General features: G+C 41.7%; 1 protein-coding gene across 31 annotated transcripts in view; it reads left to right on the forward strand.

Annotated features, from left to right (window-relative positions):
• The window catches only part of NCAM1 (neural cell adhesion molecule 1), a 317,017-nt gene that overhangs the window by 251,128 nt on the left and 53,066 nt on the right, over positions 1-12,823 (forward strand). For 19 of the 31 annotated variants that reach the window (NM_001400623.1, NM_001400620.1, NM_001400618.1 and 16 more), the window contains one exon: positions 1,822-1,964. In NM_001400623.1, coding sequence (NP_001387552.1) covers positions 1,822-1,964 — 143 coding nt within the window. Of the gene's footprint in view, positions 1-1,821; positions 1,965-8,748; positions 8,779-12,823 lie in introns of all 31 variants that reach the window. The other 12 variants (NM_001242607.2, NM_001400616.1, NM_001400621.1 and 9 more) reach the window with 1 other exon arrangement.

Raw genomic sequence — 12,823 nt, forward strand, 5'->3', positions numbered from 1 at the left:
CAAGATTTTAAGGGGCCCCAAATTCAGCCTTCCTGGGATTGTCTCCAGACCTCAAAACAACTGTTGAGTTTAGCGAATTCAGTTGTATGGCCACATTTTTTTTAAATTTTTTATTCTGTGACTTTTACAATATAGAGATTCAGCTCTTACTTTACCTTTCTTTTATTTTATTAACCTTTTTGTTTTTCATGTTTATTTTACCTTTATTTTACTTTGCCCTCTAAAACTTCCCTTTCAATGGCACTTGGCACATATTCCTTCCAATACGAGTTGTAATATTCTCAAAAATCGTACTTATTAAGGAAAACACAATAGGGAAACCTATGAGGTTTAACCTCATTCATGTGGACTCCATCAACTGAAATCTATGAACATTTGGCCAGATTGGATTGAGATGTGCCTATGTGCTATCCATCAAAAAAGGATTTGCTAAACAGGCTGTCAGTATGCATTACCTTTAGGCAAATATTTGAACTATATGGATGATTTTATGTAGAAGCAGGCATTTGTAACAAAAGTATATAGTTCTATTATTGTTTTCTGTTTATTAAAACAGCATCAAAGACCTCAACATGGAGAAGATATATAGGCAGTTGTTTATTTGCCTACTTAGGGTTACTGTATGAATTTGAATATAAAGCACATGTAGTCTTTCAAAAACTAGCTATCATTCTCTTGGGGTTTTTTGGTTCATTTGTTTGTTTCCCTAGCCTGACCTTTTCCTATATTCATGAAATAAGTCACATTTGTGCAGTGTTATCTTTTCTCTTCCACACAAAGTTCAGCAATTTCAGAGCATAATTGTTTTAAATTGGGAAAATTCAATTTTCTCTAATGTTTTAACATTTAACTTAGCTTTGGAATGCTTGTGTTTTCTTGCATTACCCAAAACATTTGGAAAATGAACTCATCTCAACTCATCTCCTTCCCATCCTGAGCCCACCCCAGAGCCCCCATCCAGTTCCTTGCCTGATTTCTTCATTTGAGTTAATGCTAACACCCTTCTCCCAGTCGTTGAGACTCCAAGTCACCTGGACTCCTTCTTATTGCTTCTTTTGGTTCTTCTCACCCCTCCTTGCCCTCTGTTCAGTTGCCACTTATTGAACCTTCCTCCAGCATCTGTCTCAAAGCTTCTCTTTGCTGTTTCCCCTCAAACAACCTTGTTCAGAATCCAACATTACCGCACATCTGGGTCATTGCCAGGGCTTCCAAACTGGTTTTCCCACTTCAAAGTGTTCTCTAGTCCAATGCTTCCTGAAATGTCCCTAGATTAACCTTCTTGAAATACAAATGCTTTTGTGCCCCTGACTAAATGCTGTCTGTGGGCCTCCACCAGGCACCAGGTAAAATTCCAGCCATCCAGCCTCACCTTCCTGTGCCTCATGCCACACTGTTCTCTTCCCAGCCATCTCTTCATATGTTTTTGCTTCTTTGCTTTTATTCAGTCAGTTTCCTACACTTCAAATGACTCCATCTCCACCCTAGAGTTCCACCTCCTGAAAATCTCATGGTCCAGCCCCAAAGCCGTTTCCTCTCGAAGGCTCCATCCAGGGAGCGATCTTCCGCCATGTCCTGCCTCCTGCATTCCTTGCCCTTATCACTTTTACTCTATAGGATATTTCTGATTATTATGGTTTCCGTGTTGTCACATGCCTACATCATTGTAAGCCTTGGAGAGTCAGGTCTGCATCTCCTAAAACACCTAGACTAGGGTCTTGTACTTAGCAGACAGCTAACCTTTGTTGGATAGGTGCATGCCATCATTTAAACCCAGAAAGCTCAATAATTAGATAAACTCAGAGAAATGTTTTGTCTTTTCAGCAAAACCCAAAATCACATATGTAGAGAACCAGACTGCCATGGAATTAGAGGAGCAGGTCACTCTTACCTGTGAAGCCTCCGGAGACCCCATTCCCTCCATCACCTGGAGGACTTCTACCCGGAACATCAGCAGCGAAGAAAAGGTATCATGCTCCCCAGGAGTTTCAGGGCCTTGGAATGCAGACTCAAAGCAGATTGAGTCTGCTCATGCCCAGTTCTCTTTGGGGAGCTGGGAGATGGGTTATGGTCACCAGAGGCCACAGCCAGATCCCGGGGCCTCCCTCCCCAACCCTGCAGGACATGGCCTGCTCATCATCCCCTTGTAATGGAATAGGCACAATTCCTTGGATAGGTTGGTGGGGGCGTGATGTATGGGCATGCTCAAGTTAGATGTTCTGGGGAGGAGGCAATGGTGATTGTCAATCCCAGAGTTATGGAGCTGTGAGGGAACAAAGAGAAGGCAATATCCTGGTCCACCAGGTGACATTGTCATCATATCAAGGGCACCCTAGGAAAGATCTCCCAGAAATAACCAGGCTCAAAATGAACCTATTAATTCTTTTTCTTGTGTTTGTATACTCATGCTATATATGCACTTATGCACAAATGCCTGGTTGCCATTGTGTCTGCCTGTATTCTTGGTCACATTTGGATACCATTTTGTTCTAAAGGCAAAAATATTTAGCAGTTTCTAAATGAGGATTACATCCTGGTTTTTCAATATATTCATGGAGGGTTTAAGAACATTGTAGCAACCTTCCTGGCAAATTAAAATGGCGGGAAAGATTGAGCTTTAAAGTCCGTGGATTTGTAGGCCACCAGAAAGCTATCTTTATTGTTGACAATATATAAAAACTGAGGTGACCCCACATCATACAGCCCTTGATTATTGAGTGGGCCAAAAGTAGGAGGAAAAAGCTTCATTTTAATGCAACTTAAACCGTCTTATGGTACTTCTCCAATCTCATCTCGTATATCCTGTAGTAATGGGCTTTGTTTTAGTTAGCCCAAGTTTTGTCACCTAGTCAGGAATAATGGCCTTAGCCTTATGGAACATTTGTAATGGATTGCTTATTGATCAGAATGTCAAAAATGATAGATTTTCACTCTTCTGCCTGCCTAAAGGAAATCTCTAGAGAGAGTAAACTCAAATAAAGCCCGAAAGGATAGTGTGAAATTCCAGAGTTAAATTTGGGATTTGCATTTGAGGAGCTGATTTCTGTCCCACTAATAGAAAACAAAACTGCATCAAATGGAACAGAAATTGCTCTTCCAAATAACCTATTATTTTTTGCAACTTTTACCTGCAGAGTTAAATTCACCTTAACAAAAAGTCAACTGAGGAACTGCTAAATATTTTTGAAACCCACATATGCTGTTTGAAACTGTGAAAACCAGCTAGATTAAGAGATGTGGTGTTTACTTGGATACTTTCTTTATCAACATTAGAATTAAACCCTTAGCTAAGATTTCAGCCCCACTCATGTGTGTTATGTGGATTTAATGTACATTTCAGGGCTTAAACCACAAGGCTGCTGCTTGGCAGATCTTTCTACATCAGCTTAAAAGTAGATTTTTGTCCAGAGTGACCCAGTGTATATCTTTGACCTACAGTGAAGGACAGAAATAATATCTATCTCAGATGAATGATGCTTTTGAATTCTATATCTTTTCTAGGAATAGCTCAACAGCCAAGCTAGACCAGAAAGGTTATTAAGATTTGTGCCTACTGAGGTTCTTTAATAGGTTGGCACTTCTGGCTTGTAGCTATGATTTCATTTTTTTTTTTTTTTTTTTTTTGAGACGGAGTCTCGCTGTCGCCCAGGCTGGAGTGCAGTGGCGCGATCTCGGCTCACTGCAGGCTCCGCCCCCTGGGGTTCCCGCCATTCTCCTGCCTCAGCCTCCCGAGTAGCTGGGACTACAGGCGCCCGCCACCTCGCCCGGCTAATTTTTTTTTGTATTTTTAGTAGAGACGGGGTTTCACCGTGTTAGCCAGGATGGTCTCGATCTCCTGACCTCGTGATCCGCCCGCCTCGGCCTCCCAAAGTGCTGGGATTACAGGCGTGAGCCACCGCGCCCGGCCGATTTCATTTTTATAGAATGAGAATAATAGCCAGGAACTAAAACACATTCATACTTGCTAAATATGGAGACAGGTGTCCAGCAGAGACTGTCTCAAGCCTAGTAGTGACTACTTTTTATATAATTCTGCTATCACTATAGATCATTTGTCTTAATCTTAGATCATTATTTCAGCCCAGCTACATTGGTTGTATTGTATTTCTTTTACTTGCCTTCAAGTTCACTTTATTGGAACATGAGTGAATCGGTATTAAAACAAGTCCTCCAAATCAGCTGGTGATGTGACACCAGACTGACATATTTGCCTAAGTGAAACCCTATATAAGAAAATTTGCCATTTCTGTTAATTATATATTGACGTCAAAGAGGCGTATTGTCCATCTTACACTGTGGATAGCTAATAATTAAGAAAACAAATATAGGCTGTTCATGAACTGGTTGGAGTACAGAAAATAAATTTCACTTTTACTTTGGCAGCCTCTCCTCATGTTCTCCTCCATCCGAAGTTGCTTCTATATAATTAGGAATCAAGATTACTAGCATCACTGTAATTGTAGGAGTGGAAAACAACCATTTTCTTTTTAAAATCAGGGTGATATGCTAAGCAAACAAGAATAGATGATTGTATCTAATTGGTCAGGTAAAGAATCCTCCTGAGATTTAGATCACATAAAATGCTAAAATCATAGATGTTCGGAAGGCACCTTTTGAGGTCATCCAGTCTCACCTGGCACCCTGGCCTAGCATCCTTGCCAGGAAGCCAGTCCGTCCCTGTCTGAAGCATGATGGTGTCAGTCCTCTGCAGGGGAGTTGGCCAATGCTGAAGAGCAGAAAGAGCTACTTCCTTGCCCCTTCCTCTACTCAGTCCTCCTAGCCTCTGCCACTCAGTCCTTTGCATGAGAGACATTAAAAACTCTCCGACTTTCCTCCAGTCCACTCCTCTTACCTTGAACATACCAGTTATTTTCACTATTTCTCATATGGCATAGTTTCCATACCTTTTATCTTTCTGGTTGTCTTATACGAGATAGTTTCAGTTCACTAGTGCTCCCCTAAAATTTTGCTGTGCTCAGTGTAATTAATGCAGACTTCAGGAGGGCTACTGCCTCTTTGATCTGGATGCCATCATGCAGAAAAAGGCACATTAGCTCTTAGCAGTCTCCTTATTCTGTTGCCTCATATTGAGCTTGTGGTCAACTAAAATGCTCAGGTCTTTTTTACATGATCCCCATTTAAGCCACATATCCCCTATCCTGTTCTTATGCAATTGATTGGTTAACCGATATTGCAGAATTTTATATTTATTTATGTTAAAAATTGCATTTTGTTTGTTGCAGCTCAGTGCTTCTCAACAGGGTCATGGTGGCAATTTGGGAAGAGGCTTCCTTCACTGGGACTGTACTATGCATTGCAAGAAACTTATCATCTCTAGTCCCCTTCCTGTTAAATGCCAGTAGCCACCTCTAATTGTTACTAAAAATATGACACATACAAACACCCTGTGGCTTGAGAATGACTGTTTGAGTCCATCTTTCTAACCAGTCAGGACTGACTTTCATTAGAAATTCACCTTAGAAGTCTATGTGTCCAGGGCACTTCAACCCATGTGTATATTAAAAGTAAAGTAGTAGAGTAGTCAGTGGAGATCCCAGCCTAAGCATAGAGCCCAAGAGCAGGCAGTCCAGTAGCCTTCCCAATGCAGTCGTCATCTAACATTTGTATTAGCTGTTGCTTCCAACCTTGTATGAACACTTATTTGCAATATCTTTGTCCAAGTCACTGATAGAAATGTTGACTAGAACAAGGTCAAGTACAAAGCCCTTAGACTGCCACAATGGCTTCCTTCTGGCTCGGTGGCTCAGAAGGTAGGCCACTTGATGCCACGGTGCCACAGTGCTCTCTCATGGTTTGTATGACTTTAGTGGAAGGTTCAATGATTCCTTTAACAAAGTTAGTTACAATATTAGCAAGTTAAAGCAGTTTTGTGTTTTGCTTCACTGCTGAGTTTAGTCTAGTATTAGTCTTCTTAAGGGAAGAGGTGGAAAAAAGGCATTCAACCATAGACATATAGTTACTAACTTTCTAATGGAATACCAATGTTCTTGTTCATTATAAAAGAAGGGGGGAGATAAGCAAAAACAAGTACAATGAGCGTGAATGTCACACTCTACCTTTGATCATGTCTCTGTATTGAGTCTAGTTACTCATTTGAGAATGACCATTACCAATCTGTTAAGCTTCAGCTAGTTGAGTTGGTTTAGCTCGACAACTGATAATAGCTAGGGTACCTAATTGTTTGGATCATCGAGATCATTAAGGTAGATCAGCTGTCCAAAAGTTGATGCATTTCCTAGTAGTTACTATTACATTGACCAAAAAAATTGACCATCATAATGGGTCAATTTGATCATCTGTATGAAAGTCATTGTGATACCTCAGAAAGCTTCTGCTTCCATGTTATTTCACTACTCATCCTGCCCAGATTCCTTTTAAATATTGCCAGGTGTTTGAGTGAGTGGTGCTAAATTCCAGGTTTCATTTACTTACTGACTGAGACCCGTGGATGATGATTTACGTACTCTATCCCTGGCAGAAAAAATCCATCATATGCCTCTTTGAACATCTCTATGCCTTTGAAATGACTGACAAAGGCCTATGAAGCCTTATTAAGGAAAGGAGAGCAGTGAAGAATTGAGATCAGAAGAGATAGGAAAAATGAAAAGCATTCTGTGAACCTTGAATCTTAGGCTGACAGAATATCCCACAAGTAAGAGAGAACTTTTGAAGTTCTGGATTCTTTGGAAGCTGGAGTTTCCTTTTCACGAGAAAAAAATTCCTCATTCAGTACAAACCCAGGGCCCGCTTTTAAACACTGGAAAAGATGACTGCATTAAGCAATCAGTCTGGTTTATCCAGCGTGTGGGCACATGAATAATGGAATACCTAAGAAAACTATAGAAATGCTTCACTTTATTTTATATATGTGTTCCTGCAGACTTGTGTGTAAGACAATAAAATATGAATATCAAAACAACCTAGAACAATTTTTGGAGGATTACTAATCACACTCTGATTTATTTCATAAGTGTGTACATTTGCATATCAGGTTGTCCTAATGTGGGTCACACATTCACCAAATTGTTAGGGCCGAGATATTTCCTATCTTTCCACCAGGCACAAAAGTAGAAGGTTATGTTACTGGAAGCTTTGTGTTACTAGCAACTACTTATTCTAAAAGCCACAGAACCATAGTGATTTGGGAGAGACACAAGGATAATCAGATTTGAAAAAACATACAACTCAATGTGATAGAGTCTCTCAAAAGAAAGATCTTGATTCCTGCAGCCCTGGCATGTAACCGACAAGCTTCTAAGTGATGTGGAATTGGCAAGCACATTTGACGTGTTGGCCCACCGTTACTTTGGTCTCTGCATGTTCCTCTGTTCTCACCTTCTTCTTCATTCCCACATCATGTGACATAACTCGATATTTCCATCTCATTTCTCACAAAAGTTCCTTGCATTTAGTGGACTCTTACTAAATGTTTGCTAACTTATTTGCATTCCCTGGGTTGCGTTGCTATGATTCTGGCATCTTTTCTATCCTTTTTCCATCTGAACATCAGAGACAATCGGGCAGTCTTGCCAGGTAATAAAAAGAACAATGCAGCTATCATGTCTTTGAATCCTAGTATGAAAAACAGATAAACTGTAAGGAGAATAGATTCCCAAGTGCTGGAGAAATAAAAAAATCTAGATGTGGGTGGAAAATCCCTCTAACCTCTGTGTCCCTGGGTTGGCTTGCAAATGCCAACTTGTGAATGGAATGCCATGTTTGATGGAGATGGTACATGCTGGAGTCCACATACCATCTGTGCATTCTCTGCTGTTAAGGACTGGAGCCCTCCCTCAACCACTTCCATTTGGTATCCTCAAAGCTTCCTGACTCCTGGTCTCAAGGACTTCATACTTCTCATTCCTAGTGTACCTCTCTGCTCCTTGCTTTGTTCCTTTTTGGCAATAAAAATTTGATTTTAACAGAATGCATGCAAAGAGTTGTAAAATGCATGAGCATTAAATGGCATTAGTATATCTATGATAAGCTGCCTTATAAAATCCAAAGAAGGAGACCTATTCTCTCTCTCTCTCTCTCTTTTTTTTTTTTTTTTTTTTTTTGAGACAGAGTCTCACTCTGTTGCCCAGGCTGGAGTGCAGTGGTGCGATCTCGCTCACTGCAAGCTCTGCCTTCCGGGTTCACGCCATTCTCCTGCCCCAGCCTCCCGAATAGCTGGGACTACAGGCGCCTGCCACCACGCCCAGCTAATTTTGTGTATTTTTTTTAGTAGAGATGGGGTTTCACCGTGTTGGCCAGCATGGTCTCAATCTCCTGACCTCGTGATCTGCCTGCCTCGGCCTCCCAAAGTGCTGGGATTACAGGCATGAGCAACCGCACCCGGCCAGAGGAGACCTACTCTCTTAAGTGTCTCTAGATAATGTGGTTAGAACTAGTCATGTCACCAAATACTATGAGCAATATTTAAGGTATTTTGGAACAAGAGCAGTCTGGTCCTACTGGTATTCATATCTAGGTATACCAAAGATTAGGAAAACCTGAACCTTTTGAATTATACATTTTAATGTGCCTAAGGGGGAAAAAAAGCTGGACATAAGCTAAATCCTAAATTAAATTGTGTAATAAACACACCATTGAAAGTGGGCCTTGGAAAAAGTTCTGAATTAAAGAAAAGCTGCATGTGCACGGAATGCAGTGTGATACATTCTCTAAAGCAACATGTTGTAAAATTTTACTGCTTTCTTGTTGTGTTTTATATCTTGTTTTCTCCAGGCTTCGTGGACTCGACCAGAGAAGCAAGAGGTATAGCTTACCTGACCACTAGCCAGTCTTTAGTTTTGAAAGCATTACAGTTTAACTCACCATTGCAGTTTAATAACCAGACATGCTAAACTAATTAGTAATTTAGCTAAAGAATAGGTCGATAGTGGTAGACATTACTTAGCAATAGTATCATTTTAGGATGAGCAAGCAAGCTGTGTTGGGAGTGGATGAACAAATCCATATTATTTCCTAAAACTGGATCTTATTCTCTTGCTGGTGCTGGTAAAATCACATCCAGGTAATTACACCAATAGAAATAAATTGCCCCCAATTCCCAGGCCAGGCATTTTGAAATGGTGAAAGTTTTTTGACTCACATGGTTGATGTGGCTCTGGACCATAAAGTCACAGAGTTAGTGATCTAAAAACCCACTCCTCCCTTTCCTTTCCAGCTCAACTCATCTTGTTGCTCACTTATTTTATAATGATCAGTCTTGGTAAATTATCACATCACGTTTCATCTCAAAAGCAATGCAAATGACATCTCTCGTTGGTTTTCCCAAATTGCTAAACGTATCTCTGTTACTTTTATAGAGCATTAAATTTATGAGATTAGAATGATGTGGTACAAATGGTTTTATGTTTTTTAAAGTCAGTAGCATTTAACCTTTGAAATTTCTCTGACTCATTGCTTCAGTTTGGATAATGTGGGACTTAGTTTGAAAACTGAAGTTAAGTATTAATCTTTAGGCTTTGATTGCCACATCTCAAGACCCTACTTATGATCATGACTATAATTTTTTACCCGATTTATATGAAGTAACATATAGTGAAAATGAAACCAGTGGACTTCAGATGAGATTCAAGGATCTAATCTCTAAGGACTTTTTTAAAGTTGCCTTTGCCTTTTATCCAGATGGGGCTTTGATCGTGTAATGCTATAAATGCAGAACATCATGATCCTATAGATTCTGTATTTTAATTTGGTAAATCTATCCCTTAGTCTTTCAGAAATGATAATTATTCAGAACGTATAACTCAAGTGTTCAGGTCAAGGCTATACATATTTATATGCTGTTTAATATTTAAAAGTTGACTGCCTGTCCCCAGGCACTGATCTTAGTTTCTGCACATGAACAGGCTGCCATTGTCAAATTCAGTTCATTATAAACTTCCTGTGTATAAGACTGTCCTCCCTGTCATTGGGATGACTGTTAAGTGCACAGCCTCACTGAGAGGCTTCCCGCCTGTGGCACAGGAATCACTTAGTGCTGTCACAGGTTGGGTGCTTTATTGTCCAAAAGTCATGGACCCACTGGGATTGGGGAAGAGAGAGAAGGGTTAATTATCAGCCACTCTTAAGCAGCTACAGATCTCATTCTGCTTGGCCTCATACAACTTTCCTTGTCATTCTCATTTAGAGCTGGTTGAGGAGGAGCTGAGATTTATCAGGGAGCATTAAGGAGATGTTAAGAGAATTATTATTGTAAGTGGAAGTAATAGGTTTACTCCCATGAAAGCAGACACCTCACTCTGTTTTTCAGAAGTGTCCTTATCATGAGTGTCTTACTTTGGACGTAATTGACTTTCAAGTGAATGCTGCCCCTAGGGCTCAGAAGTTCCATTCTCTCCTGTTTGTCTCATTTGGAGATGAAGACCATAAGTCCAGATGAGTGCAAAAGAAGGCTCAGGTTATGGCCAGTTTCATTTTGTAAGTTCTAAAAGCATTAGCACTTTTACCTGGAAGGAGGGAGACAAAAACATTTTGATGAGAAGAATAATTATCATTAACCTTCATATTTTTGGGGAAAAAAGGAGTTTTCTTGCCATCAATATCTTTTCATACTTGCCCAGAGCTCATCTCCTCCTTCTGCTGCAGCCTGGGTGGTCAGCATGACTTTTTGTCTGGATGGCTGGTAGGTGGCACACCCTGAAGTTGTGCAGGAGCCATAGTAAAAGCATTTCAGGGGAAGATAGTCTAATGACACTGGAGTCTATCTGTGTATCCTCAAAGGGAGAACTGGGCATCTGGCAGATAATTCCATCATCAAATCTGTAGTGAGCCTACTGCAAAATAAGAATTCTCTTTAGAAGGCTGGTCTGTGGACATCATTAAACAGGAGAAATTTCCACATGGAGAAATTTCCTGAAAGAAACTAGATAGGAATTAAAAAAAAAAAGTATGGCTGTTCACGCAACTGTTTTCTAAGCTTCCCTTCAACCATTTCTAGACTATTCTGAGTAAAGACTTGGAATATCCCCTGCTTTGTTGTCGTTAAGGTCCTGTTCTTGCGTACATTCATTTCTCTGCCTCTTTTGTTACAACATCTCTTCCTTATGGAAATGTTCTCTTGACTTCCAGAAGAGTATTGTTCAATTTCCAAGTTTGTGTGTGGTGGCCCCAGGACAAGTCTGGTCTGTGTCACAAAGAATTTTAGTTCAGTTGCTGGTTGATATCACAGAGATCACCAGAAAGGCCAGGGGTTGTCCTTAAGTTCCCTCTGCCTGCAGTCCTGCTTTGTTTTGGACAAGTAGGAGTGACAAGCAGGTCAGCACAGCCCTTTAGAGATACCTGCAGGGATGGCCCCATGCTCTTGAGGCCACTAGTCTAGACTCACGGGTAAAGACTTGTGTATGATGTATGAAAATAGCCCTGGAGGTAGGGGCGGTTCCAAGATGGCCGAATAAGAACAGCTCCAGTCCACAGCTCCCAGCATGAGCGACGCAGAAGACGGATGATTTCTGCATTTCCAACTGAGGTACCGGGTTCATCTCACTGGGGACTGTCGGACAGTGGGTTCAGGACAGTGGGTGCAGCGCACCGAGCGTGAGCCGAAGCAGGGCGAGGCATCACCTCACCTGGGAAGCACAAGGGGTCAGGGAATTCCCTTTTCTAGCCAAGGAAAGGGGTGACAGACAGCATCTGAAAAATTGGGTCATTCCCACCCTAATACTACACTTTTCCGATGGTCTTAGCAAACGGCACACCAGGAGATTATATCCCGCGCATGGCTCAGAGGGTCCTACGCCCACGGAGCCTCGCTCATTGCTAGCACAGCAGTCTGAGATCAAACTGCAAGGCGGCAGCAAGGCTGGGGGAGGGGCGCCCGCCATTGCTGAGACTTCAGTAGGTAAACAAAGCAGCCAGGAAGCTCGAACTGGGTGGAGCCCACCACAGCTCAAGGAGGCCTGCCTGCCTCTTGTAGACTCCACCTCTGGCAGCAGGGCATAGCCAAACAAAAGGCAGCAGAAACCTCTGCAGACTTAAATGTCCCTGTCTGACAGATTGGAAGACAGCAGTGGTTCTCCCAGCATGCAGCTTGAGATCCGAGAACGGACAGACTGCCTCCTCAAGTGGGTCCCTGACCCCCGAGTAGCCTAACTGGGAGGCACCCCCCAGTAGGGGCAGACTGACACCTCACACGGCCAGGTACCCCTCTGAGACAAAATTTCCAGAGGAACGATCAGACAGCAGCATTTGCTGTTCACCAATATTCGCTGTTCTGCAGCCTCCGCTGCTGATACCCAGGCAAACAGGGTCTGGAGTTGAGCTCTGGCAAACTCCGACAGACCTGCAGCTGAGGGTCCTGACTGTTAGAAGGAAAACTAACAAACAGAAAGAACATCCACACCAAAACCCCATCTGCATGTCACCATCATCAAAGACCAAAGGTAGATAAAACCACAAAGATGGGGAAAAAACAGAACAGAAAAACTGAAAATTCTAAAAATCAGAGAACCTCTTCTTCTCCAAAGGAACGCAGCTCCTCACCAGCAGCGGAACAAAGCTGGATGGAGAATGACTTTGATGAGTTGAGAGAAGAAGGCTTCAGACGATCAAACTTCTCCGAGCTAAAGGAGGAAGTTCGAACCCATGGCAAAGAAGTCAAAAACCTTGAAAAAAGATTAGACAAATGGCTAACTAGAATAACTAATACACAGAAGTCCTTAAAGGACCTGATGGAGCTGAAAACCACGGCACGAGAACTACATGATGAATGCACAAGCCTCACTAACCAATTCGATCAACTGGAAGAAAGGGTATCTTGATGGAAGATCAAATGAATGAAATGAAGTGAGAAGAG

This window comes from Homo sapiens, chromosome 11 (assembly GCF_000001405.40).
Source record: "Homo sapiens chromosome 11, GRCh38.p14 Primary Assembly".
Classification (NCBI taxonomy): Eukaryota; Metazoa; Chordata; class Mammalia; order Primates; family Hominidae; genus Homo; species Homo sapiens.